General features: G+C 40.0%; 1 protein-coding gene across 2 annotated transcripts in view, besides 1 other annotated feature; it reads left to right on the top strand.

Annotated features, from left to right (window-relative positions):
* Positions 1-27,312, top strand: part of SRPK1 (SRSF protein kinase 1) — an 88,133-nt gene that overhangs the window by 10,353 nt on the left and 50,468 nt on the right. Inside the window, exons 3-6 of one of the 2 annotated variants that reach the window (NR_034069.2) lie at positions 19,705-19,851; positions 21,823-21,931; positions 22,635-22,722; positions 23,935-24,022. Coding sequence is in view for 1 of the 2 variants with exons in the window: in NM_003137.5 (NP_003128.3) it covers positions 19,733-19,851; positions 21,823-21,931; positions 22,635-22,722; positions 23,935-24,022 (404 nt within the window). In the remaining variant the exon portion in view is untranslated. The remainder of the gene's footprint in view (positions 1-19,704; positions 19,852-21,822; positions 21,932-22,634; positions 22,723-23,934; positions 24,023-27,312) is intronic. The other variant, NM_003137.5, reaches the window with a different exon arrangement.
* Positions 1,728-1,928: a silencer, noted in NCBI's record as "peak5780 fragment used in MPRA reporter construct". NCBI's record gives its function as "represses an SCP1 promoter by STARR-seq MPRAs in K562 erythroleukemia cells {active_cell/tissue: K562}" and the evidence as "EXISTENCE:reporter gene assay evidence [ECO:0000049][PMID:32103011]".

Raw genomic sequence — 27,312 nt, 5'->3', positions numbered from 1 at the left:
ATTGGCCTCAACTTAAAGTCACTAGGTACGTTAGCTGCTAACAAGAGTCAGCCTGTCCTTTGAAGCTTTGAAGCCAGTCATTGACTTGTCTCCAGCTATGAAAGTCCTAGATGGCATCATCTTCCAATAGAAGGCTCTTTTGTCTACACCTAAAATCTGCTGTTTAGTATAGCCACCTTCATCAATTATCTTAGCATCTAGGTAACTTGCTGCAGCTTTTTCATCAGCACTCACTGCTTTACCTTGCACTTTTATGTTATGGGGATGGCTTCTTTCTGTAAACTTCATGAACCAACCTCTGCTACCTTCAAATTTTTCTTCTGCAGCTTCCTCACCTCTCACAAACTTCATAAAATCCAGGGCCTTGCTCTGGATTGGGTTTTGGCTAAAGAGAATGTTGTGGTTGGTATGATCTTCTATTCAGACCACTAAAACTTTCTCCATCTCAGAAATGAGGCTTGCAAGCTGGGCGTGGTGGCTCACTCCTGTAATCCCAGCACTTTGGGAGGCTGAGGCAGATGGATCACCTGAGGTCGGGAGTTCGAGACCAGCCTGACCAACATGGTGAAAGCCCGTCTCTACTAAAAATACAAAATTAGTCGGGTGCGGTGGCGCATGCCTGTAATCCCAGCTACTTGGGAGGCTGAGGCAGGAGAATCTCTTGAACCCAGGAGGTGGAGGTTGCAGTGAGCTGAGATCATGCCATTGCACTCTAGCCTGAGCAATAAGAGCGAAACTCCATCTTAAAAAAAAAAAGAAAGAAATGAGGCTTGTATTAATCTGTTCTCACACTGCTGTAAAGAATATTACCTGAGACTGGGTAATTATAAAGGAAAGAGGTTTAATTGACTCACAGTTCCACAGGCTTACCAGGAAGCATGGCTGGGAGGCCTCAGGAAACTTAGAATCATGGTGAAAGGCAAAGGGGAAGCAGGCATCTTCTTCACAAGTTGGCAGGAGGAAGTGTGTGCAACAGCAAGGAAGTGCCACACTTCAAAACCATCAGGTCTCGTGAGAACTATCATGAGAACAGCATGAGGGGAGCCACCCCCATGATCTGATCACCTCCCACGTGGTCTCTCCCATGACATGTGGGTATTACAATTTGAGATGAGATTTGGGTGGGGACACAGAGCCAAACTGTATTATTTCACTCTTGGCCCCTCCCAGATCTCTTGTCCTCACATTGCAAAATAATCATGCCTTCCCAACTATCCCCCAAAGTCTTAACCCATTCCAGTATTAACTCAAGAGTCCCAAGTCCAAAGTCTCATCTGAGACAAGTCTCTTCCACCTATAAGCCTATAAAATCAAAAGCAAGTTAGTTACTTCCAAGATACAATGGGGATACAGGCATTGGGCAAATGTTCCCATTCCAAATGGGAGAAATTGTCCAAAACAAAGGGGCTACAGACCCCATTAAAGTCTGAAATTCAGCCGGGCTGTCACTAAATTTTAAAGCTCCAAAATAATCTCCTTTGACTCTGTGTCTCACATCCAGGGCATGCCGATGCAAGGGGTGGGATCCCATAGCCTTGGGCAGCTCCTTCATGGACTGGCATTGAGTGCCTGTGGCTTTTCCAGGTACATGGTGCAAGCTATTGGTGGATCTACCCTTCTGGGGTCTGGAGAACAGTGGCCCACTCCTCACAGCTCCACTAGGCAGTGCCCCGGTGCAGACTCTGTGTGGGGGCCCCAGCCCCACATTTCCCCTTTGCATGGCCCTAGCACAGGTTCTCCATGAGGGCTCCACCCCTGCAGCAGACTTCTGCCTGGGCATCCAGGCATTTCCATATGTCCTCTGAAATCTAGACAGAGATTCAATTATTGACTTCTGTGCACCTGCAGGCCCAACACCACGTGGAAGCTGCCAAGGCTTGGGGCTTGAACCCTCTGAAGCAATGGCCCAAGCTGTACCTTAGCCCCTTTTAGCTTTTTCCTCCTAAGCCTCTGAGTCTGTGATGAGAGGGGCTGTCGCCAAGATCTCTGACATGCCCTGACGACATTTTCTCTATTGTCTTGGTGATTAGCAGCCAGCTTGAATTTCTCCCCAGAAAATGTTTTTTTCTTTTCTATCCCATTGTCAGGCTACACATTTCCCAAACTTTTATTCTTTGTTTCACTTTTAAACATAAGTCCCAATTTCAAATGATTTCTTTCTGAATGCATAAAACTGAATGCTTTCAGAATAACCCAGGTCATGTCTTGAATGCTTTGCTGCTTAGAAATTTCTTCTGCCAAATACCCTAAATGATCTCTGTCAAGTTCAAACTTCCACAGATCTCTAGGGCAGGGGCAGAATGCTGCCAGTCTCTGCTAAAGCATAGCATGAGTGACCTTTACTTTAGTCCCAATAAGTTCTTTGTCTCCGTCTGAGACCACTTCAGCCTGGACTTCATTGTTCACCTCACTATCAGCATTTTGGTCAAAATAGTGCAAGTCTCTAGGAAGCTCCAAACTTTGCTACATCTTACTGTTTTCTTCTGAGCCCTCCTCCAAACTGTTCCAACCTCTGCCCACTACCCAGTTCCAAAGTTGCTTCCACATTTTCAAGTATCTTTATAGCAGTACCCCACTCTCTGTGGTACCAATTTACTGTATTAGTCCATTTCACACTGCTATAAAGAATACTACCTGAGACCGGGTATATAAAGGAAAGAAGTTTGATTCACAGTTCCACAGGCTTAACAGGAAGCATAACGAGGGCTCAGGAAACTTACAATCATGGTGGAAGGTGAAGGGGAAGCAGGCACCTTCTTCACAAGGTGGCAGGAGGGAATGTCTGCGAGAACGAGGAAGTGCCACACTTTAAAACCATCAGCTCTCGTGAGAACTCACAAACTATCAGAACAGCGTGGGTGAACCACCCCCATGACCCAGTGACCTCCCACCTCATCCCTCTGCTGATGTGGGGATTACAATTTGACATGAGATTTGTGTAGAGACACAGAGCCAAACTATATCAAGGCTGTTCCTCTTTCTTGTTATTCATGTGTTCACTCCATCTTACTTATTTTTTATTTTTTATTTTTTATTTTTTGAGACGGAGTTTTGTTCTCATTGCCCAGGCTGGAGTGCAATGGTGCAATCTCGGCTCACTGCAACCCCCGCCTCCCGGGTTCAAGTGATTCTCCTGCCTCAGCCTCCCAAGTAGCTGGGATTACAGACATGTGCCACCACACTCAGCTAATTTTGTGTTTTTAGTAGAAATGGAGTTTCACTATGTTGGTCAGGCTGGTCTTGAACTCCTGATCTCAGGTGATCCACCCACCTCAGCCTCTCAAAGTGCTGGGATTACAGGTGTGAGCCATCGCGCCCAGCCTCACTCCATCTTATTTTAAAGCAAATCCCAGGCATCATATTATTTTATAAATTATAGACTCTTAATTTTTTTAAAGCATAGCTACGGTAGTATAATTGCCCTAAATTTTTTTAAACAAGTCTTTAATGTCAAGTATTCAATCTGTGTTCAAATTTTCCTAATTTTCTTTGGATCAGGATCCACAAAGTCTTTCCATTGCCTTTGTTTGAAAAGTTTCTAGTCTTTTACTCTGTAAGTTCTCTGTGGTTCTTTTCCTTGCAGATTTGTTTTTGGCAAACTACCTATGGGTGGTGGTGTAAACTTTCATCAGGAAACATCAATTCTGGTTGTCTCTCTTTTTGTGGTGTTAGTGGCTATTGATCCTTGCTTAGATCCATTAATTTATTTAGGGTTTCAAAAATGGTAATATTCTATTTCTTAATTTATTAATTGTAATACTTCTATAAAGAGAAACTTTATCTCATAACTTTGGTTACCCAGAGAGAGAGTTGACAGATCCCTAGCATGCTCCAAAATGACCAATAAACATTTGATAATAACTCACAAATTTGAACGTATTTGTGGTTTAGTCCATTAGAGTGGGTTTTTTTTTCCTACAGTTTTATGGAGGTATAATTAAAACTCATTTTAACTGTGCAATTCAGTGGTTTTTAGTATGTTCATAGAGTTGCACAAACATCACTGCAGTGTAAATTTAGGTTGTTTTCATCAACTCCAAAAGAAACCTGGACCTATTAGCAGTCATACCCCTTGACTCCCGACACTGCCTCACCTTCAACCTTAGGCAGCCACTAATCTACTTTCTGTGCCTATGGAATTTCCTGTTCTGGACATTTCATATAAATGGAATCATAACATATGTTATCTTTAGTGACTGGCTTCTTTTACTTAATGTTTTTAATATTCGTGCATGGCTCACATCTGTAATCTCAGCACTTTGGGAGGCCAAGGCCGGTGGATCGTTTGAGGCCAGGAGTTTGACACCAGCCTGGCCAACATGGCCTAACCCTGTCTCTACTAAAAATACAAAAATCAGCTGGGCGTGATGGTGCACGCCTGTAATCCCAGCTACTCAGGAGGCTGAGGCATGAGAATCACTTGAACCTGGGAGGTGGAGGTTGCAGTAAGCCGAGATCATGCCACTGAACTCCAGACCAGGTGACAGAGTGAGACTCTGTCTCAAAAAAAAAATAATAAAATTCGTGCATGTTGTATCATGTGTGGTTATTTTTATTGCTTGTCCACTGTTGGCTAATTGGAGTTTTTTTTCATGGTATCTCCTGAGTTCATTTTACTCAACCTGAGATGTCTTTGATTGCTTTTTTTAATCTGGTGTGACAGTATGTCTAAGGCTTATCTTGTACATTTTCTGCCCCCGGCTAGGAAATAGCTGTCTCTCCAAGAAGCCTTTTAGTGGGAAATGGTATTTGGAGACCATAATCTGAGCGCTTAAGGAGCTTATTACTAGTGAGTGAGTTAGTCATTGTTTCTATGCTTTTTCTGTGACTAGAGCTTAGGAAATAAGTTGTGTTTTTTCATTTAAAAAAATCATGAGTTCATGTTATACTTAAACATGGAATCATAGGACCCAAGGATTTTTGTTTGATTTTATATTTCACTCTTCTTTCTCCCACGCTGAAAATCCCAGTTCTCAACAGCATCATGATTGCTCATTTTCTTTTTCCTACAATATATACACAACAGTCTTAGAATTACAATTCCAGCACTACCCCAACAATATGATTACTAAAGAAGATCACAATTTTTGTTATTGTTCTTAGAGTATATTTCACTGGGGATGTAGAATCAAGTGACTGAATTTTATAGTTGCACTGACTAGTTCCTTGCTGTAGGATTATGCTACCACCTAATTTCTCAGATTCATGTGTTTCATTTTGCTTTCATTTTACATCATCTTTGACTTTTTTAAAAAGTCCAAGTCTTGCAGAATTATTTGGGTCGTCTAGGCTTATTGCTTAAAATAAATATTGTATGTAATTTGTGATTATGTTGGGTTTTTTTTTAGAATATGGCTTATGAAGCATACTATGAGTAAGACAACAGGGAATGGTTCTGTGCTTATTAGAGTGTGTGAAGTGTGCCTCCTCCTTTATATCTAAAGAAGAAAAGGTTTCTTAGCTCCTGTTACCCTGTGAGAAGATGGGTCCACTATTACCACGTCTTCAGCTTTTTCAACAGAAGCTAGAACTTTGTTTTTATGTGATTCTCCAGATTGTTTAGTGTTCACAACTTTTGTTTGTCTGTTTTTTGTTCTTTATTTGAGATAAGGTCTCAGTCACCTAGGCTGGAGTACAGTGGTGTGATCATAGGTCACTGCAATCTCAAACTCCTGGGCTCAAGCATTCCCTCTGCCTCAGCCTCTGGAGTAGCTAGGACTACACCACCAGGCCCCCTTAATTTTTAATTTTTTTTTTCTTTTCTTTTGTAGAGATGGAGTCTTGCTGTACTAACCAGGCTGGTCTTGAACTCCTGGCCTCAAGGGATCCTCTCACCACCTTGGCCTCCCAAATTACTAGAATTACAGGTGTGAGCCACAGTGCCCAGCCCACGACTTTATTTATTTTTTATTTTTTTATTTTACTTTTTTTCTTTTTTTTGTGACAGAGTTTCACTCTTGTTGCCCAGGCTAAAGTGCAATGGTGTGATCTCGGCTCACCACAACCTCCACCTCCCGGGTCCTGGTTCAAGCAGTTCTCCTGCCTTAGCCTCCCGAGTAGCTGGGATTACAGGCACGCACCACCATGCCCAGCTAATTTTTGTATTTTTAGTAGAGACGGGGTTTCACCATGTTGGCCAGGCTGGTCTTAAACTCCTGACCTCATGATCTGCCTGCCTCGGCCTCCCAAAGTGCTGGGATTACAGGCGTGAGCCACTGCACCCAGCCCACGACTTTATTTAAAAACCATTGTATACTTTTGTTTACAGGCAGGATTCAGCTTGCAGCCTGTAGTATGTAATCTCTGCCTCAGAGTCTTTATGGTGAAAGGTAGGCATTAATAGGCTGACTGTTGCAAGTTCCCTCTCTGAGTGATAGTATTAAGCACAGTTGTGGAAGAGCCCCATGGTTCCATGGGCCTCGTAGTGGAGGATTAGCTTTGGAAATTTGAAAAAGACCAACAAAGATCAGCTGTGAAGACCATAGTATCCAGTTTTTCAACTAATTTAACAGGGTATAACTTCAGAAAGTTATCAGAAGCCCACAAAATAATTTGAATACACTTAATTTTCAGATAACTGTAGTAAAATGTTTCCACTAAACACAAAAATCAGTTGGCAGGAGCTAGATAAATAAAAATCATGGCTTGGCATGGTGGCTCATGCCTATAATCCCACCACTTTGGGAGGCCAAGGTGGGAGGATCACTTAAGCTTAGGAGTTCAAGACCAGCCTGGGCAATTCAGTGGGACCCTGTCTTTAAAAAAAAAAAAAAAATTCGCTGGGTGTTGTGATGCACGCTAATAGTTCCAGCTATTTGGAAAGCTAAAGTGGGATTGCTTCAGCCTGGAAGGTCAAGGCTGCTACGTGCCATGATTGTGCCACTGTACTCCAACCTGGACAGAAGTCCAGGTGTGTAATTCATTGCTATTGGGTAATTTATTGGTGGCTTAAATGCCTTGAACAATATTGATGAGTATTTTAGGATGGCATATCAAGAAGTTTCAGAAATTTTAATATACATTTTAACTACCACGTAACAATTGTCACCAATTCTTGTTTGGTGAACAAAAACATCAATGGTATGAAGCTTGGTACTTGTAGTCAATCATGTTGATAACCTTTTTTAATTTACTCAAATTCTAAAATTTATGATCTGAGTGTCATAGAGGCCTAGGCATTTTGAACAAGGCTAACAGTCCTTTTGGGGATAGTGTTGTGATTTTTTTTTTTTTTTGGAGACAGTCTCACTCTGTCACCCAGGCTGGAGTGCAGTGGCACAATCTCGGCTCACTGCAACCTCTGTCTCCCGGGTTCAAGTGATTCTCGTGCTTCAGCCTCCCAAGTAGCTGGGATTACAGGCACATGCCACCACACCTGACTAATTGTAGTATTTTCAGTAGAGGTGGGGTTTCACCAGGTTGGCCAGGCTGGTCTCAAACTCCTGACCTCAGGTAATCTGCCCACCCCTGCCTCCCAAAGTGCTGGGATTACAGGCGTGAGCCACCACGGCCTCTTGTGAACTTTTGTTTCCTGAAATATTAGGGTAAGCCTTATTTTGTAACTGATTATCAATGTACCTTGTAGGCAACCCTATCTTTCCGTTCATTCACTTTGCTTTTTTTTTTTTAAATAGAGACAGGGTCTCACTGTGTTGCCTAGGCTGGTCTTGAACTCCTGGGCTCAAGTGATTCTCTCACCTTGGCGTCCCAAAGTGCTGGGATTATAGGTGTGAGTCACCATGTCTGGCCCACTTTGCCTTTAATTATTGTGCTACTCTTCAGCTTATGAACATTTTTTGATGTGCCTCCACTTAGCAATTTGATCAGAGATGCCAGGTTTTTTCTACCTACATATGAGCTTGAGGACAAGCTCCCTTCTGCTAGTTTTTATGCCTTTTAGAATAGCTTTAACAGGAATTGTATTTTGCATTTTTCTTTACTAGAAAGAAGAATGCAGTGGGATAAATTAGGTAATTCATGCTAATATTTCTAGGTAGAAGGATAATACAGTACATGCTCAATATGCTGTTTATCAAAAAGAGCTTGTCCTTTTGAATTACACAGTCCCGGATTTCAGCCTGCCTCCAACACCATTGTTAGGTGAACATGGACAGTTTCTTTTGACTTTTCAGTTCAAGTTGCCTTATCTGTAGATGGCAAGGTTATAAGGATGAAATTGCATTGAGTGCCTAGCCCAGTACTGAGGTGAAATAAGTTTTTGGATGACTGCTTTCTTTCTCATGCTTCGTTCTTTACCTTAGATGGGTTTATCTTTGTCTTTTATGTGACTTTTTTTTGGATTTTTATTTTATTATTATTTTTTATTTTTTAGAAACAGGGTCTCACTTTGTTACCCAGGCTCTGGAGTGCAGTGGCGTGATCATAGCTTACAGCTGCATCACACTGCTGGGCTCAAGGGATCCTCCTGCCTCTGCTCCCTTAGTAGCTGCGACTACAGGCACATGCCACCAAGACTGGCTAATCTTTTTTTTCTTTTTTTTTTTTTTTTTTTTGTAGAGACGGAGTCTCGCCATCTGGCCCAGGCTGGGCTCAAGCATTCCTCCCGCCTTGGTCTCCCAAAGTGCTGGGATTACAGACATGGGGCCACTGTGCCAAGCCTATGTGACATTTCTTAATACTATTAGTGTATCAAACTAATAGTTTTAGCTCATGTGTTGGTGTTTCATTTTCATGTATATTTATATATATGTGTGTGTATATATGGTAGAGTTTGGAGTATAGTCACCTGAGGATCAAGGTTGAATTATATTTATTTGTATGTAACACCTGATAAACTTAGGCACTCAGATTTTTATTTTTATATTGTTAGACCCTAGTTCCAGCTTAAGATTTCTGAGTTGAGAAACTTAGACTACTTGTGAGTATGTCTCAGAAGTTAAGTTTGGATAAAATTAGATATGTAAAGGATTATGTCAATTTGCAAAAGAAAAAAATCTTTCAGGAAAAATATATATGGAAAAGGTAGTGGGAGAAATTTAGCATTTATTGAGTTCCATTGTGTGTAGGTGCTAGAACCTAAAATAGCATCTCGTTAAATCTTTGCATCACATCTAAATAAGTGTGATAACTCTAGAAGGGATACAGAGATGACTGGGACACAGTCCTTTCCTTCAAGAGACTTAGGATTTCTTAAGGGAAATAAGTATACAAACATGGTTTTCTTCAGTCTTCTGTAACAAAGTACCAAAAACTGGGTGGCTAAACAACAGAAATTTATTATCTCACAGGCTAGAAGTCTAAAAGGTGTCAGAGGGTTGATTCCTTTTGAGGGCTGTGAGGGAGAATCTGTTTCAGGCCTTTTTCTTGCCTTGTAGATGGCCATCTTTTCCCTGTGTCTCTTCACATCATCTTCCCTCTATATGTGTGTGTGTCTCTACATCCAGATTTTCTCTTTTTAAAAGGACAGTAGTCATGTTGGATTCGGGCTTATCCTGATAACCTCATCTTAACTTGATTACCTCTGTGAAGACCCACCCTGTATCTAAATAATGTCACAAGCCCAGTTATTGGAGGATAGCACTCCAACGTATCTTTCTAGGAGGGGCACAATTCAGCCTCTAACACAGGCCTCAGAAGGCAGTTCCCTGCATTAGGAGATCTTAACCATTCCCCACTCCCAAGACAGAAAAGACTAAAGTTTATATGTAAGTAAACTAAAGTTTCAAAGGTGCTTTTTCCAGTCAGCTTTTAGTCTCTCCTTCTTTCTCTCTTTAATTTTTAGTTTTTTGTTATTTAAGAGATGGAAATCTCACTGTGTTGCTCAGGCTGGCCTTGAACTCCTGGGCTTAAGTGATCTTCCACCTCAGCCTCCTGAGTAGCTGGGACTACAGGTGTGTGCCACCATGCCCAGCTTTAATCCATCCTTTAGAGCCATAACTAAATCATTTCTAAAACCCCAAACATACCATCTTTAAATCCGTTCCTCTCCCTAAATTTCCATTTTCTGAAACCACCGTTTTGAATCATTCCAGATAAACTCCCAGCATCGCTCACCTCCTTACTCAAATGTCACAACACTATTTAAAATAGCATGAGCACACTGTGTCCCCTTGCCCTACTTAATTTTTCTCTATAGCTCTCTTCATAGCCTGACATTGTAGAGCATGTATCTCCTGGAGAGACTGAGATAGGACTTTGCTGTCCCAACTTCTGCTGTTCACCAGCTAAAACTCAAGAACCGGATAGGTTCAGATAAATTAGGGCTATTTTTTGTCACTTCATGCTAGAATGTAAACACAGTGAAGGCAGGGACCCTATACTTGCTCACAGCTGCATTCCCAGTGCCTAGAAAAAAGTACCTGGGATATCTACAGACACTCAGTAAAACTAAGTTGAATACATGAACACATACTTGCTTGTTTCTTTTCTTTTATTTTCTACCTACAATGCTAAAATTTATGTTCAGGCACTGTATTAACCACAGGAATAACATATCCTCGCAAATGCCCTATGAGGTAGGCATCATTTCTGCCTTCATTTTACACATAAGGCGAGAGGCGCAGAGAGCTTCTTACACTAACAGTTTGTTCAGAGTTTTGGAGCTCTGGTAAACTGTGGAGCCAGGATCAAACTCAAGTCTCCTGACTCCAGAGACCTTTGCTGTAACTATTATCTCTGCAGTGGTCCCCAACATCTCTGCTTTCTGGTTCCCCTACATTTTACAAACCTTACCAAAGGAATCTTTTTATTTTTTTTTATTTTTTTATTATTATTATTTTTTTTTTGCGATGGAGTCTTGCTCTGTCGCCCAGACTGGAATGTAGTGGTGCGATCCCAGCTCACTGCAACCTCTGCCTCCCAGGTTCAAGCGATTCTCCTACCTCAGCCTCCCGAGTTGCTGGGGTTACAGGTGCCCGCTACCATGCCCAGCTAATTTTTGTATTTTAGTAGAGATGGGGTTTTGCCAAGTTGGCCAGGCTGGTCTCGAACTCCTGACCTCAAGTGATACACCCGCCTCGGCTTCCCAAAGCTCTGGGATTACAGGCATGAGCCACCGTGCCCGGCCCCAAAGGAATCTTTCTAAAGCATTTCTTCTGTAGGGCCACTCTAATGGCTGCACTTCCTTCTTTGTAAAGTGCTTCAATGCTTGACATTTAAGGCTCTTCACAGTCTAGTTCTGTTGGGGGCAGATGTGTAATGGACTTTAACTGAAGAATGAATAATAACTAAATACGAAAGAGAAATACCTTGTACACATCCCGGTTCTAGGCATTTAGGATATGCCATTGAACAAAAAAAGGCTGCCCTCATGAAGCTTACATTCTGGGAGTGTCTGGAGGAAGACAATAAAATGCCAAGTGCTGAAGAAAAGTAGCGGGTTAAGGGGAGTGGCAGAGGGCATGTGGCAAACACTGCTGTTTCATATAGGAAAGTCAAGGAAGTTCTCTGAAAGGGTGCCACTTTAGCACAAGCCTAAGAAGATATGTATAGAGAGATGGGTTGGAGGGGGCAATGAAGAGACAGATCACGTAAGGTCTTGTAGGCCATTGGAAAAAAATCTGTTTGGAGTATAGTGGTTGCCTAATTGTGCTTCATTAAAGATCACCAGTGTTTTGTTTTGTTTGTGAGATGGAGTCTCGCTCTGTCATCAGGCTGGAGTGCAGTGGTGCGATCCCAGCTCACTACAACTTCCACGTCCCAGGTTCAAGCGATTCTCCTGCCTCAACCTCCTGAGTAGCTGGTACTACAGGCACGCGCCACCATGCCCAGCTAATTTTTGTATTTTTAGTAGAGGCGGGGTTTCACCATGTTGGCTAGGCTGGTCTTGAACTCGTGACCTCAGGTGATCCGCTTGTCTTGGCCACCAAGTGCTGGGATTACAGGCGTGAGCCACCACGCCCGGTGTCTGTGTAGGATTTGTTGACATTTTTGTTTTGTTTTGGAAAATGTGAACTGGAGTTCAGAGGGCTTTAAGAGGGAGGTTTTAGGGAAAACAGAGAAGAAGGCATGCTTGACACTGGAAGAACCTGATAATATGATAAATTAACTTTTTTGAGATGGAGTCTCGTTCTGTTGCCCAGGCTGGAGTGCAATGTCATGATCTCGGCTCACTGCCACCTCCGCCTCCCAAGTTCAAGTGATTCTTTTGCCTCAGCCTCCCAAGTAGCTGAGATTACAGATGCCTGCCACCATGCATGGCTAAATTTTGTGATAAATTAACTTGTAAAAAATATAGTAATACATAACTTAAAAAAATAATTATTTCAGTAGTTTTGGGGTACAGGTGGTTTTTATTACATGAATGAGTTCTTTAGTGGTGAATTCTGAGATTTTAGTGCACCTGTCACCTGAGCAGTGTACACTTTACGCAATATCTAGTCTTTTATCCCTAACCCCCCAATCTTCTCCCCAACCTTAAGTCACCAGAGTCCATTATATCACTCTGTATATCTATAAGTCCTGATTGCTTAGCTCCCACTTATAAGTGAGAACATACAGTATTTGCTTTTCTCCATTCCTGATTTACTTCGCTTAGAATAATGGCCTCCAGCTCCATCCAAGTTGCTGCAAAAGACATTTCATTCCTTTTCATGGCAGAGTGGTATTCCATGGTGTATAGATGCGACATTTTTCTTTATCTGTTTGTTGATCAATGGGTACTTAGGTTGGTTCCATATCTTTGGAATTGAGAATTGTGCTGTTATAAATACTTTAAAAGTTCATTGCATGGATACATTTTCAAATATAGTAAACATTCATAATGCAATGTATTGATCAATTGGCCTGCATAGATGATCCTTTTAGCAATTACAGGTTTTACCTTACATGAACAAATTGGTAATCAAATTTAAATAAACATACAGGTGATCTATGCAGCTAATAAATCTATTCAACCCACCTCTTGTTGGACATTTAGGTGTCTAATTTGTTCCAATAGAATACGCAGTGGAAGCCTTTTTAAATAAAAGCTACAGGATGGGTGTGGTAGCTCATGCCTGTAATCTCAGCAATTTGGTAGGCTGAGACTGGAGAATCACTTGGGCCCAGGAGTTTGAGACTTGTCTGGGTAACATAGTGAGATCACATCTCTAAAAAATTTTAAAAATTAGCCAGGCATGGTGGTGCACGCCTGTAGTCCCAGATACTTGGGACTGAGGTGGGAGGATCACTTGAACTGAGGAGGACAAGGCTGGAGGGAGCCGTGATAGCACCACTGCACTGCAGCCTGGGCGGTAGAGTGAGACCCTGTCTCATAAATGAATGAATTAATGAATTAATTAAATAACTGCTACATAGTCCTCTGTCTCACCTTTTCCCTAGACATAGGTCTACTTCCTAAAGCAACTACTTTTACCCATTGCTTTTTGTTTATTTTATTAATAGTTGGATAGACGTGCACATCTCCAGCATACTTACTGCTATTCTTTGATTGATCAGCTTTAGCTATTACCATAAATTCTTGCTATGATTGAGGAAGATATAGTTCACTTGTACTATCACCACTTTATCTCTCTCTTCCTCTCAATAAAGCACTATATTTGGACCTAGTTTTCTAAAGCTTTATTGAGACATAATTTGCATGCCATAAATTCACCCATCTAGTGTACACTTCCATTGTTTTAACATATTCAGAATTGTTATATCTCACCATGATCTAAGTTTAGAGCATTTTTATCCTCCTGTAAGAAAACTCCAAACCCATTAGTAGTCACTCACCATTACTCGCTTTACTCAGACCCTGGCAACCGCTAATCTACTTTCTGTCTCAATGGATTTGCCTTTTCTGGACATTTCATGTAAATAAAATCTTAGGATTATGTGGTCTTTTGTAACTGGCTTCTCTTAGTATAATGTTTTCAAGGTTCATTCATCTTGTTAAAGCAGGTATCAGTACATCATTCCTTTTTATGTATAGATATATGAATTTTGTTTATCCGCTCAGCAGTTGGTGGACATTTGGATTATTTCCACTATTTGGTTATTATGAATAATGTTGTATTTGTATATTCCACCCTGTCCCCAGGAATCAGTCAGCATTTTACTTTATAGTACATTCATAATAAGTTCCTGCATTTCCAAGGTAACCAGATCCCATTCAGGTTAACACTACTGGTAACAAAATCATACAACTATGCATTGTGAACATCCATGTACAACTTGGTGTGTGGATACATGTTTTCATCTCTTGGTAAATACCTAGAAGTGGAATTGCTAGGTCATATGGTAATTCTAATGTTTAGCATTTTGAGGAATTAACAAACTTTCCAAAGTGGTTGTGCCATTTTACATTCCCACCAGCGATGTGTAAGGGTTCCAGTTTTTTTCACTTCTTCACCAACACTTGTTATTATCTATTTTGATTACTTTATAACTTTAATATACCTTGAGTAGGAAAACTTCAAACTGTTTTGTTGTCTGCTCTCACACCACAACAATGAACACAGACTCCTGTGACCAAATGTATGAGACTTTTTCCCCTGCCATACACCACCCAATCAGTTCTGCAGCAGATACCAGCTAGATGTCCTCTGATTCAATTCAGTTCTGACAGTGTCTTCTTGGAGACCCCACGGATTGAGGGTTCACTCCTCAAGACTGCCTCTCCCCCGTTTCCAGTGCCAGTTGCAAGCCCAGGTTGTTTTACCTGTGCTTCTGATCAACTGGCTATAAATTGTGTTTCCCATGACACCTCCTTGGGTTGAATTAATTTGCTAGAGGAGCTCACAGAACTCAGGGCAACATGTTTACTGGTTTTTCTAAATAAAGGATATTACAAAGGATAGAGATGAATAGATGCATAGGGCCTAAGGTATGGGAAGGAATGCAGAGCTTCCATGCCCTCTCTGGGTGTACCACCCTCCAGGAATCTCTACTTATTCAGCTGTCTGGAAGCTCTCCATACTTCACCCTCTTGGGCCTTTCATGAAGACTTCATTGGATAGGCATGAACAAAGCATGGTCAACTGTGTAGAAATGTGATTGGACAAAAAGAGTACGACCTAATAGACTGAGTATGGAAACCCAGCAGGGCCTGTCTGTTCAGATTCTTGGCCTCTCTGTGCATCATTCCTTCCCCCAAGGTATGGGGCTCTGAAATGGGGATCTTATGAATCAGGATCAGATAAGGTAGGTCAGATAATTTCTTTATGGAAAGGCACGGGAGGATTACGTTACTGCATTGGGAAGAAAAAGGAGCAGGTGAAAGAGGGCAGGAGGTCTGTTTTCTGAGGCCTGCTTTTGAGGCCTAAAGAGCCCCAACATTATAACAAAAGACTAACAAGGGCTGTGGGAGTTACGAGCCAGGAACTGTGGATGAACACACACACACACACACACACACACACACACAAGCATATGCCTCAACCTTTGTTTTTGGTTTCATTAACTGTAGGCACTTTAACTTCGTAACATGAAAATATTGGTGGACTTTTCTTTCTCTCCCAACTGGCCCCTAAATTCTGTCTTTACAGTGTTTACAAAGAATCCTTACGTTCTACTTTGTAGCCATAATTAGGTATTTTGTGCTTTATCATTAGGTTGATTTTGAAGTAGAAAATCAATAATCTGCATTTATGTTATTTTGACTGTGTCTTGTGCTATAATTACATAACTTTTTTTGTTTAGATTTTGTTTGTTTCTTGGAATTCGTAATTATGTTTTTCTCCCTTGTGTTACCTCTTTTTTATCATATTGTTAGATTCCTCCAGAAAGTATGTCTCAAGCATACTTTCTTGTCTTTGTTTTTTTCCCCGGAATCTCTCAGAGCTCTCTGGTCTCTGGCTCTAGGTCAGATTAAATGCATTTCAGGCCTTCTCTATAGTTGTGCTCTTGGAACTTCCTTTTTGGCTCTTCTGTTTTTGATCTGTAAAACAGAATCCTGTGGATCCTATGTCTTCTTTCTCAGTTTTACTGCTTTGTTTTCTTGACTTTAAGTAACTTCTTCAGAGAAGATGAATGGGAGATAAGTTTCAATGTTGGTCCATATTTGAAAAACTTTATTCTGCTCTCAAATGTTGTTGATACTTAGACTAGGTTAAAAAAAAAATCCTCAGAATTTAGAAGTCATTGCCTCATTGTCTTTTAGTGTATTGGCTTTCTGATGAGATAGATGATGACAGTCTAATTACTGCCCTTCTAGCTTTTTTTACCTAGAAGCCTTTAGAGTCTTCTTAACACTGGGATTTAAAAATTTCCCTAATAAAAAATTAAGTAGAGCTTCCGTTCAATCTCCAGAAATTTCTTGAATTTCTTTAATAATTTTATCTCTTCTATTTTCATAAGTTTCTCTTTCTGCAACTCTATTATTCAGATGTGGGAACTTCTGGTTTGATTGTGTTTGTCTCATCTCTTTTTGAGCATTATTATCTTGAGTAGAGATATTACGGGATAATGGGCGATTATGAGATAAGTGGGCATTTTTCCCCCCTACATTTAGGGAATGGTCAAGTTTATTTTCTAGAACTTCTTTCTGACTTTACTCATCTTTTAGACTAGAGCATCATAGTCTGTATGGAAATCGGCATCATTTAACATTTCTCTATTCATATTAACTAGTTTTTAAGTTTGGTCTTTCTCCTGAATGCATATCTCTCTTGTAGGGTCAGTTTTCCAATTGCTTATCTTGGTCTCTGTCTTTGGGGCCGTGGGCTTTCCTCAAATGTTCGATGATCCTTAGTCACCTTTTATTTTTATGGATGAGGCATTAGAGACCTGATTGATAGCCCTACGTCCCTAGCAAGGCTTTTTCTTTCTTTTCTTTTTTTTTCTTTTATTTGAGACAGAGTCTCGCTCTGTCGCCCAGGCTGGAGCACAGTGGCATGATCTCGGCTCATTGCAACCTCTGTCTCCCGGATTCAAGCAATTCTCACACCTCAGCCTCCCGAGTAGCTGCGATTACAGGCGCATGCCACTGTGCCTGGCTAATTTTTGTATTTTTAGTAGAGACGGGGTTTCACCATGTTGGCCAGGCTGGTCTTGAACTCCTGGCCTCGGCCTCCCAAAGTCCTGGGACTATAGGCATTAGCCACCGTGCCTGGCCAGCTTTTTCTTTAGAGTAAATAGGAGGCTACCTGTGTGATGTTTGGTCCCACTGAATGCCAGAATCTGGAAAAGTTTACTCTGGGGTAGCATCATCCACACTAACAGCATTTGTTCTTTCCAGTTTATTTTATTTTCTTTAGAGAATAGGCCTCCTTTTTTGCCCCCTGCAAGATAAATACCAGTCTGTCTGCTGTGCAGTGTATGGTGTCAACTCCATTATACAAGCCTTCAGTTAATCATCCCCCACCCCTTTTTTTTTTGAGACAAGGTCTTGCTCTGTCGCCCATGCTGGAGTGCAGTGGCACAGTCATGACTCACTGCAGCCGCAACCTTGCAGCTTCAAGCATTCCTCCCACCTCAGTTCCCCGAGTAGCTGGGACTACAGGCACGCACCACCAAGCCCAGTTAATTTTTGCGTTTTTCTTAATGATGAGGTTTCACCATGTTTCCCAGGCTGGTCTTGAACTTTTAGGCTCAAGGGATCTGCCCGCCTTGGCCTCACAAAATGCTGGGATTACAGGTGTGAGCCACCGCAACCGGCCCCATTTCATTTACTTTCATTAAGTTTGAATCAGAGAATCTGTTTCAGAATTCCATCTTAATCTCAAATTGGAGAATGTTGTTCTTCATTCAGACTCCTTATTTCCACTTAGGAAAGTGGGCCAGTGTATTACTAAATAAATTTCCCAAAGACATGTTTTCAGTTACAATGAACATTGAATCATGCAGTTTTATAGCTAATTTTGTGTACCCTGGGGGATTAAAAAGAAAATCAAGAATTGAGGAAGGTTGGAATGGCCACCAAAAATCTAAATCATTAGTTGCATCAAGGTATTTCTTATGTCTTAAATAGCTCAGTCATAGCATGTAACTGGTTTTTCTATTAAAATGTTTTTCTGTTAATTGAATCTTTTGAAAAAATAATCTGATGAAACAGGTTGATGAAAAGGTAAATAAATACTGAAAAATTAAAATTAAGATGTATTTTCCTTTAGCTATTGAAAGGAATGCTGTGTACCCTGCCTTTTTGTTTTGTTTTGTTTTGTGTTGTTGTCGTTGTTGTTGTTGTTGTTGTTGTTGTTGTTGTTGTTTTTAGACAGAATCTTGCCCTGTTGCCCAGGGTGGAGTGCAACGACGCGATTTCGGCTCACTGTAACCTTTGCCTCCTGAGTTCAAGTGATTATTGTGCCTCAGCCTCCCAAGTAGCTGGGATTACAGGTGCCTGCCACCACACCCAGCTAATTTTTATATTTTTAATAGAGATGGGGTTTCTTTATGTTGGCCAGGCTGGTCTCAAACCCCTGGCCTCAAATGATCTACCTGCCTCAGCTTCCCAAAGTGCTGGGATTACAGGCATGAGGCCCAGAGGTACCCTGCTTTTTTTGCTTAAAGGTCCTAGAAGACAGGCAACTAATAAGTGTCAGAGCCTGAGTGTAAATTCAGGTTTTTATGCTGCTTGAACTTCTCAGTGCACAAAAGTTGTGATATAACTAATTGAAGACATATAGAGAAGGAAATCAGTAAATATTTTTAATGCATTATAAAATGAAATATGATTTTTACCTATCAAATAAGCTAAGTTTTCAGAATGAGGTAGTACTTAAATACCAAAAGCCCATGTGTGGCTGGTGGGGATGTAACTTAGTACAACCTTTTTGGGAAGCAGTCATACTACATAAAAATCATTAGAAGCGAAGCATTCATGGCCACTGACTAGAAGGAAATATTCCAAAATGTTAATAGTTGTTCTGATTAGGTATGCCTTGAAACAAGTGTTTTCCAAATTTTCCACATTTAACATGTTATTTTTATAAATAGGAATGTTTTAACCCCTACTTAGTAGTTTAATTTTAGGGAAATAATTCTAATTACAGAATAAAGATTATCCAAAAGTATTCAACAACTATATTTTTAGTAGTGAAAAATTGGAAATAAATGTCCAGCTGAGCAGAATGTGCCAAAGTAAGCAGTGATACTTCTAAGGGAAGCATGTTAAGATTTTTTTTTTTTTTTTTTTGAGACAGAGTTTCGCTCTTGTTGCCCAGGCTGGAGTGTAATGGCACAATCTTGTCTCACCGTAGCCTCCACTTCCCGGGTTCAAGCAATTCTCCTGCCTCAGCCTCTCAAGTAGCTGGGATTACAGCGTGGGGTGCCCACCACCACGCTGGGCAAATTTTTTGTTTCCTTAGTAGAGATGGGGTTTCACCATATTGGCCAGACTGGTTTCGAACTCCTGACCTCAGGTGATCCACCCACCTCGGCCTCCCAAAGTGCTGGGATTACAGATGTGAGCCACCATCCATGCCTGGCCTCCATGTTAAGATTTAAGAGATTTCATAGAAATGAAAAAAGTTTGTAATAGAAAAAGCCAGATGCAAATTTGTTTATGTAGTATGTGATTACAGATAAATATTTTTATGAAGATACAGCAACATAATGGAAGAAGAGTCAGTAGTTTATCAGTGATTATGTTTGGATATTGAGATTCAAGTAATTTTTCTCCTTTGTACTTTTTAATATTTTTCAGATTTTATTTATTATGTACTGAAGTTTTTAAAAAGTATTTTTCTAACATGAGGTAAAACTACAGCTAATATTTTCCTAGGCTGCCACTTGGTAATACTCTGTTCATATTATCTGAAAGTTTAGTTTTTTGTGGGGAGGGCAGCATTTGATAATGTCTTATTTTCTTCTGTCCAAATGGAATGGGCATTTTTGTATCATTTCTTAGATCTGAAACTCAGCACCGAGGCTCTGCTCCCCACTCTGAGAGTGATCTACCAGAGCAGGAAGAGGAGATTCTGGGATCTGATGATGATGAGCAAGAAGATCCTAATGATTATTGTAAAGGTAAGTTCATAAAGAGGTATGAAGTGAGACATGAGCCATCTATTTGCAATTTCTCGTTTGGATGTTTGATCTATCAGCATAAACACAGTTTTATTGCTGTTTACTTGTATCCTTTTCTCTAAAACATAGGAAATAGTATTTGTTCTTAGTCTGACTTAATTTATCAAAGCCTAATTTTATATTAAATGTTTTTACCTTTTTCCTCTTTAAAAATTATAATACATATTTACCTTAGAAAATTTCAGAGCTGTGTTAAACAGAAAAGAAAGTAAAAGACTTCTGCAATGCTATCAGCCACATATAACCAGTGATAACATTTTGGCATATAGATTTTTACAAAATACCTTCTTACCACTTTTTTTCTCATAGTGATGGCTGTTAAGTTAAACTGGAATGACAGACACTTAAATGGTGTCATTAGGTTGCCTGTTAATCTTTTCTGTTTCTTGATGAGACTTTCTAGAGTCTTTGGGTAGGAACACAAAATGGAATGTATCATACCATCTAGAAGAATGTGGTCCTTCTTATTCTCAGCTGACAAAGATAAATATGAAAATACCTTGATTCTTGCCACTGTTGGCAGCCTTTTCAGGCCTTCTTCTGTTTTCTGGTTTTTTGGGGGTTTTTTTGTTTTGTTTTTTTGAGACAGAGCTGCCCAGGCTGGAGTGCTGTGGCACGATCTCAGCTCACTGCAGCCTCTGACTCCTGGATTCAAGCGATTCTTGTGCCTCAGGCACCCACCACCACGCCTGGCTAATTTTTGGGATTTTTTGTTTTTTTGTTTTTGAGGCGGAGTCTCGCTCTGTCGCCCAGGCTGGAGTGCAGTTGGCGCGATCTCGGCTCACTGCAAGCTCTGCCTCCCGGGTTCATGCCATTCTCCTGCCTCAGCCTCCCGAGTAGCTGGGACTACAGGCGCCCGCCACCATACCCGGCTAATTTTTTGTATTTTTTTTTTTTTTTAGTAGACACAGGGTTTCACCGTGTTAGCCAGGATGGTCTCGATCTCCTGACCTTGTGATCCGTCTGCCTCAGCCTCCCAAAGTGCTGGGATTACAGGGGTGAGCCACCGCGCCTTGCCGTTTTTTGTTTTTTGTTTGTTTGTTTGTTTTTTGAGACAGAGTCTGGCTCTGTCATCCAGGCTGGAGTGCAGTGGCACAATCTCAGCTCACTGCAACCTCCACCTCCTGGGTTCAAGCGATTCTCCTGCCTCAGCCTCCCGAGTAGCTGGGACTACAGGCATGCACCATGACACTGGCCAATTTTTGTATTTTTAGTAGAGACTGGGTTTTACCATGTTGGCCAGTCTGGTTCTCAAACTCCTGACCTCAGGTGATCCACCCACCTCGGCCTCCCAAAGTGCTGGGATTACACGCGTGAGCCACCATGCCCAGCCTTAATTTTTGTATTTTTAATAGAGACAGGTTTCACTATGTTGGCCAGGCTGGTCTCGAACTCCTGACCTCAAATGATCCGCCCTCCTTGGCCTCCCAAAGTGCTGGGATTACAGGCATGAGCCACCGTGCCTGGGCTGTTTTGTTTTGTTTTTATTTAGAGAAAATCCCGTTTGCTTACTTGCTTTTTTTTTTTTGCTAAATAAACAGAATTATTCTGTCTCCTAAAAAACACCTGAGACTGTAATTGTAAATAGATATATATGTTTAGATAAACCTATTGAATTATTGAGAGACAAGAATATCATGATATACAACCTTTTTATTGTTTTTGGATGAGACTGTTGTAGGCTCAATCTAAATCATTAATCTTACTCACTTTTTTTAATAACATGAATTCAGTAATACTATGTGGCTGATTTGACTATTAAGATTTTCTTCTGTTGAATTGATTGTATAAAAGAAACTTTTTATTGATAAAAGGTATATAGATGTTGAAAAATGTGATGTTAAAAATGCCTTTTCTTACCATTGTTTCTCATCCTGGTTTTTCTGATTGTATTTCCCCTGTTTCTTCCAGGAGGTTATCATCTTGTGAAAATTGGAGATCTATTCAATGGGAGATACCATGTGATCCGAAAGTTAGGCTGGGGACACTTTTCAACAGTATGGTTATCATGGGATATTCAGTAAGTTTTAGTGGTTCTGTAAAAGAATTAGTTAGATGATGTCTAAATGTGTTTGTCTGAGTTTCCACTGCTGATCCAGGCTTCAATCTATCTCTAGCCTGATTCATTTATCAGAATTTTGTTGTTGGCAATAGTCTCTGTATTCTTGGAGAAACCACTTTTCTTTCGTGAAGAATCAGTATTATATATCTCCCTTTCTACTATAGAGACAGGAGTGATTAAATTAATGCTGGTAAAGCTTTTGTCGTTTGATTTTTTTGTGATTTTTATCATTTTCTTTTCACCGAAGTATTTCTTCTGGCTGCCTATGGGAAAATATTACAGCTTTTAACCTTTTAGTTTTTGCCTATATACAGATATATACACAGAACACTTGGAATTTGGTAATATCTTTCCCCTTATTTATCCTCATTTTGCAGTTTTGCTTGTAACTCAGGGAGATATTCAAAAGAAGGATTTTAACTCAGAGAAAATGTTCAACAACTGAGATTATCTGAGAACAGATTTTTTATTCTTCCTATAAATGAAATCTGGCCAGTTAGTGTCATTAACAAGTATAAATGTTCCCATAGAAGTAGCTTGTTTGGGCTACAGGGAAACGTGAAATCAATATTTGTCCTTTTTAACCATCTTATAGCTAAATCTTAGCTTCCTAAAGTAAGGGTAGGCTATGTAGTCTTAATTGCCTGTGTTTGTTTCTTAGGGGGAAGAAATTTGTGGCAATGAAAGTAGTTAAAAGTGCTGAACATTACACTGAAACAGCACTAGATGAAATCCGGTTGCTGAAGTCAGTGAGTATTAGATTATATGTATGAATGTGAAGAATTATAAATAAATCAAGTTTCATTGAATAAAAACACACCAAGTGGAGGCTCTTTAGCATGGATAATTTTCTCTATAAAGTTCTAGTAACCTTAAAGAGGTAAAGGAAGACAACAATATTTACACATACCATGCATGTAGTAGGGAACTGGTGGCAAATGCTATGATGAGAATTCTTCTTACACGCATGAACCAAAAAAAAACCTTTCAAATGAATAAAAATATTCACTGAGCATGTTTTACAGGCCAGGTAGCTACTGTCATAATGTTTTTTTTTCCTACTATGGTTAAAAGGAAAGTTGTGTAAATAAATGTATAGCATCTTTTTTGTTGTTTTTCAAATATGTTATAGAATACATAATATAAAAATACTGTATTTACTGATTCCATTTATACCTGGAAACTGAGATAAATTCTATCAAAAATGTATTTTTAGTTCTGTTTTAAATTAGGAATATGCCAGTGTGGTAGAAGGAACTTAAATTCAGAATTAGAAAACCTGGGTTTAGGTCGCCTTTACCCCGGTATGTCCTCCATGTTACCATTTTTTTCTTTCTGAGTCTCAGATTTTTTATTCATAAAGTGAGAATGTTGCACCAGGAGATTTCTATGGCAGTAGTTTTCTTTTTTATTTTCAACTCCTGGCCTCAAGTGATCTGCCTTAGCCTCCAGAGTAGCTGGGGTTACAGGCACAAGCCACTGCATCTGGCTTAAGACAGTACTTTTCAGAATGTCCGTTTGTGACAAGATAAGGAGCCTTGTACCTACCCAAAAGTAAATCAACATACTGTTTTCTTCATTGAGAAAGTTTTTCCATGAAAAAAAAAATGTCCGCTGAAAAAAACAGTGTGGTTAGTGCTGTAGTTGATTTGCATCCTGCAAAATCTTCTTAGTTCCTCATAGCCTGGTAATCATCAGTTAATTTGGAGGCCACACTTTGATTGATATCAGGGAGCAAAATAGTTTAATTAGAAAAATAGTTCCTGTTGGTTGTATTTCCTCTTATGAATTGACTATTTAAGATTTTTCTCCATTAAAGCTATTGAAATTTTAGTATATTTTAAAAATAGATTTATGTGAGCTCTTTCTTGTAGTTAATTTGCTGTAAGTATTCTTCCCCTACCATCTGGTTTATTTCCATGCTTTACCTTGTGCTAAACACTGTCTCTTCCCCACTACAGGTTCGCAATTCAGACCCTAATGATCCAAATAGAGAAATGGTTGTTCAACTACTAGATGACTTTAAAATATCAGGAGTTAATGGAACACGTATCCTTTTAAAAACCTATTTGAGAATAAATCATCCCAATCCCAAAGAAAGGAACTAGATTTGTTGTGTAGATGGCCTTGGTGTCTTTTCTAAGGCAAACTATAATAAAATTACCTCTTTTATTGTACACTTCTGAACACACATCTGAATTTTGTCTAATTTTGTGTGGTGTGATTTTTCAGAATATTGCTTTAAGCTTCTTGTCCTCTTTTCAGGCAAATTAAAGCGAAATCAAAGGAAACTTTTAGAAAATGCGTTGTATCACTAAGTAAAGAGTCTATGATTTTTGTCAGTTAGCACAGAAACTTTAAGGGAAGTAATTTCTTATGAAAAATACTGAGTAGGCCGGGCACGGTGGCTCAAGCCTGTAATCCCAGCACTTTGGGAGGCCGAGGCAGGTGGATCACCTGAGGTCAGGAGTTCAAGACCCACCTGGCGAACATGGTGAAACTCTGTTTCTACCAAAATACAAAAATTAGCTGGGCATGGTGGCAGGCTCCTGTAATCCCAGCTACTGGAGAGGCTGAGGCTGGAGAATCACTTGAACTGGGGAGGCAGAGGTTGCAGTGAGCCGAGATTGAGCCCACTGCACTCCAGCGTGGGGGACAGAGCCAGACTCTGTCTAAAAAAAAAAAAAAAAGATACTGTCTAAAAGAAAGAGAAAAAGAGAGAAAGAAAAAGAAAGGAAGAAAGAAACTGGATGAACAATTTAAGGTATGATTGTATTTATTATACTAAGCCTCAACTTTGAAGAGGCTGTGAATGTAGTTTATGTTTAGAGTCTAAAAGGGTGTAATTGTTCACATTCTATTATAATGAAAAACTGACTTGTTTTATGTTTTTATCTGGATGTTTTAGAACTGTAGAATTGAAAGGAACCATAGCTGATTTTCTTCACAGGTATCAAAGTGACGTGCGGTGAGCTAATGGAAAGGTTATTGCAACAGCTGTGCTTATAAAGGTCAATCAGATTTTTCAGTAAAAGATGAAGTCGAATCTTACTTAGATTGGATAAATCTAAAATCACCTGTTTATAAGCTGTTTTTAAAATGTATAAAGACATTTCATACATTATTTTACTTTTCATGCATGTTTAGCTTCCTTTAATGCACATTCCTAATTGCTGTTGATCTTTTTGTATTTAAAGGAGACAGGACTACATATGACTAGTTTCATGTAGACTATGGGAAGAGATTTGAACAGAGAAGCAGGAAGGAAGGGATGGGAAAGGAGAGAGAACAGCTGATAATGTGGAAAGACTATTGTTCTAAAGTCAATTCTGAGTCATTTCTTAGAAAAATACAAATCACAGATTACCCAGATGTCTAAGGAAAACTGCTGCAACCATCTTAAAACAGTATCTTGTGCTTATTGTGGTCACTTTGTAGATGGCTCTCTCTCTCTCTCTCTCTCTCTCTCTCTCTGTGTGTGTGTGTGTGTGTGTGTGTGTGTGTGTGTGTGTTCAAAGAATTAAGAATTCTAAACCAAGTAATTTTTTAAAAACCTACACAGGGTGTCGTGATGGCCATATCTGTTTTTTCTATTATTTAATCTTGTAATGTTTGTCATTGTGCCAGATTTCTTTACTAATTTGCAAAAGTTCCAAGTAAAACTATAGAAATACTCTCAAATCTCCCCAGTAATGCTGAGTACCTTTATTTGACCCTAACTAAGCAAAGAAGGCTTTTTAACTATTGAAATATCTTAGTAGGTTTGAATTTCAAGTTCCAAGATATTTTTCTTTTTCTTTTTTGGAGTTCAATGGCATAATCTCGGCTCACTGTAACCTCTGCCTCCTGGGTTCAAGTGATTCTCCTGCCTCAGCCTCCCGAGTAGCTGGGATTACAGGTGGATGCCACCACACCCAGCTAATTTTGTATTTTTAGTAGAGATGGGGTTTCACCATGTTGGCCAGGCTGGTCTCAAACCCCTGACCTCAGGTGATCTGCCCGCCTCGGCCTCCCAAAGTGCTGGGATTACAGGTGTGAGCCACCGTGCCCGGCCCCCAAGATATTTTTCAAACATTGCTAGGTGGTTTCTCTGTAGCTTCTGTCCATTGATTCCCTATTTTATTCTTTTCTCCATTTGTTCTTAGCCATTTTTTCCTGTCTTTCTTCATCCTTATCTCCCAGCTGTCTTTGCTCCTGCATTATTTACTACTGTTAGAGATTGAAAGGATATAACTCAAAACACTATGTTAAGGGTTAGTAATGGCTCATGTCACTCTCCTGCCTCTACCCGTTTTCCCAACATAACATACCCACACAGAGCAGTACATCCACATTCGTGTGTATGTTTGTTCAGGCGTTTTTTTCTCTGGACCACTATCGTTTCTCATATTAAAATATAAAGGGCCCTAAACTAGAAAGTTAGTTCTTACAGAATTCCATATAAACTGGCTCACTCTACTTGCCTGGAGGGTGAGGGGAAAAGAATGATTAAGAAGGAGGACAGTTGGTTTCTCTATATAATGTTGACATTAGCCAGTCATTATTGTCTGCTTATATGACCTCCTATGTCTTTAGGATACTTTTTTTTTCATGCTGTATTCTGTCTGTTTTGCTAGCTCCTCTTATTCATAATGTGCCCTAAATGTGCTTACTCAATAACATAAGCCTTTTATTTTCAGCCTTTTGTTATTTTCTTTACACTGTCTCCCCATTAGATTTTTTTAAAAATATAACCTTGTGGGCCGGGTGCAGTGGCTCACACCTGTAATCTCAGCACTTTGGGAGGCCGAGGTGGGCGGATCACGAGGTCAGGAGACCGAGACCATCTTGGCTAACACGGTGAAACCTCATCTCTACTAAAAATACAAAAAAAAGCTGGGCGTGGTGGCAGGCGCCTGTAGTCCCAGCTACTCAGAAGGCTGAGGCAGGAGAATGGCGTGAACCTGGGAGGAGGAGATTGCAGTGAGCCAAGATAGCGCCAACTGCACTCCAGCCTGGGCGACAGAGCAAGACTCCGCCTCAAAAAAAAAAAAAATAACCTTGTGATTTCAATTACTAGTGCTTCTGATTGCTACTCATTAGCTTTCTTTCACTCAAATTATTTGGCTCTTCCTTTTTGCCACTTGATTATGATGTTCTGTCAAGTTTTTTTTTAAGCTACTATATGTTTGGTCATTTTAATATCACTGCTTACAAATTAAAACATTTTCAAATTGTAATACTTCTCTCAACAAATAAAAATTAAGCAGATGGAAGCTAGAAACATAAGAGAATAGCTTTACAATCCTATTTTATGTTTAGTCTTTTTAAGTAATCTGCATTTTAAATAATCTTGTTTT

This window comes from Homo sapiens, chromosome 6, assembly GCF_000001405.40.
Source record: "Homo sapiens chromosome 6, GRCh38.p14 Primary Assembly".
Lineage (NCBI taxonomy): Eukaryota > Metazoa > Chordata > Mammalia > Primates > Hominidae > Homo > Homo sapiens.
This window is presented reverse-complemented; position numbering and strand designations above follow the sequence as displayed.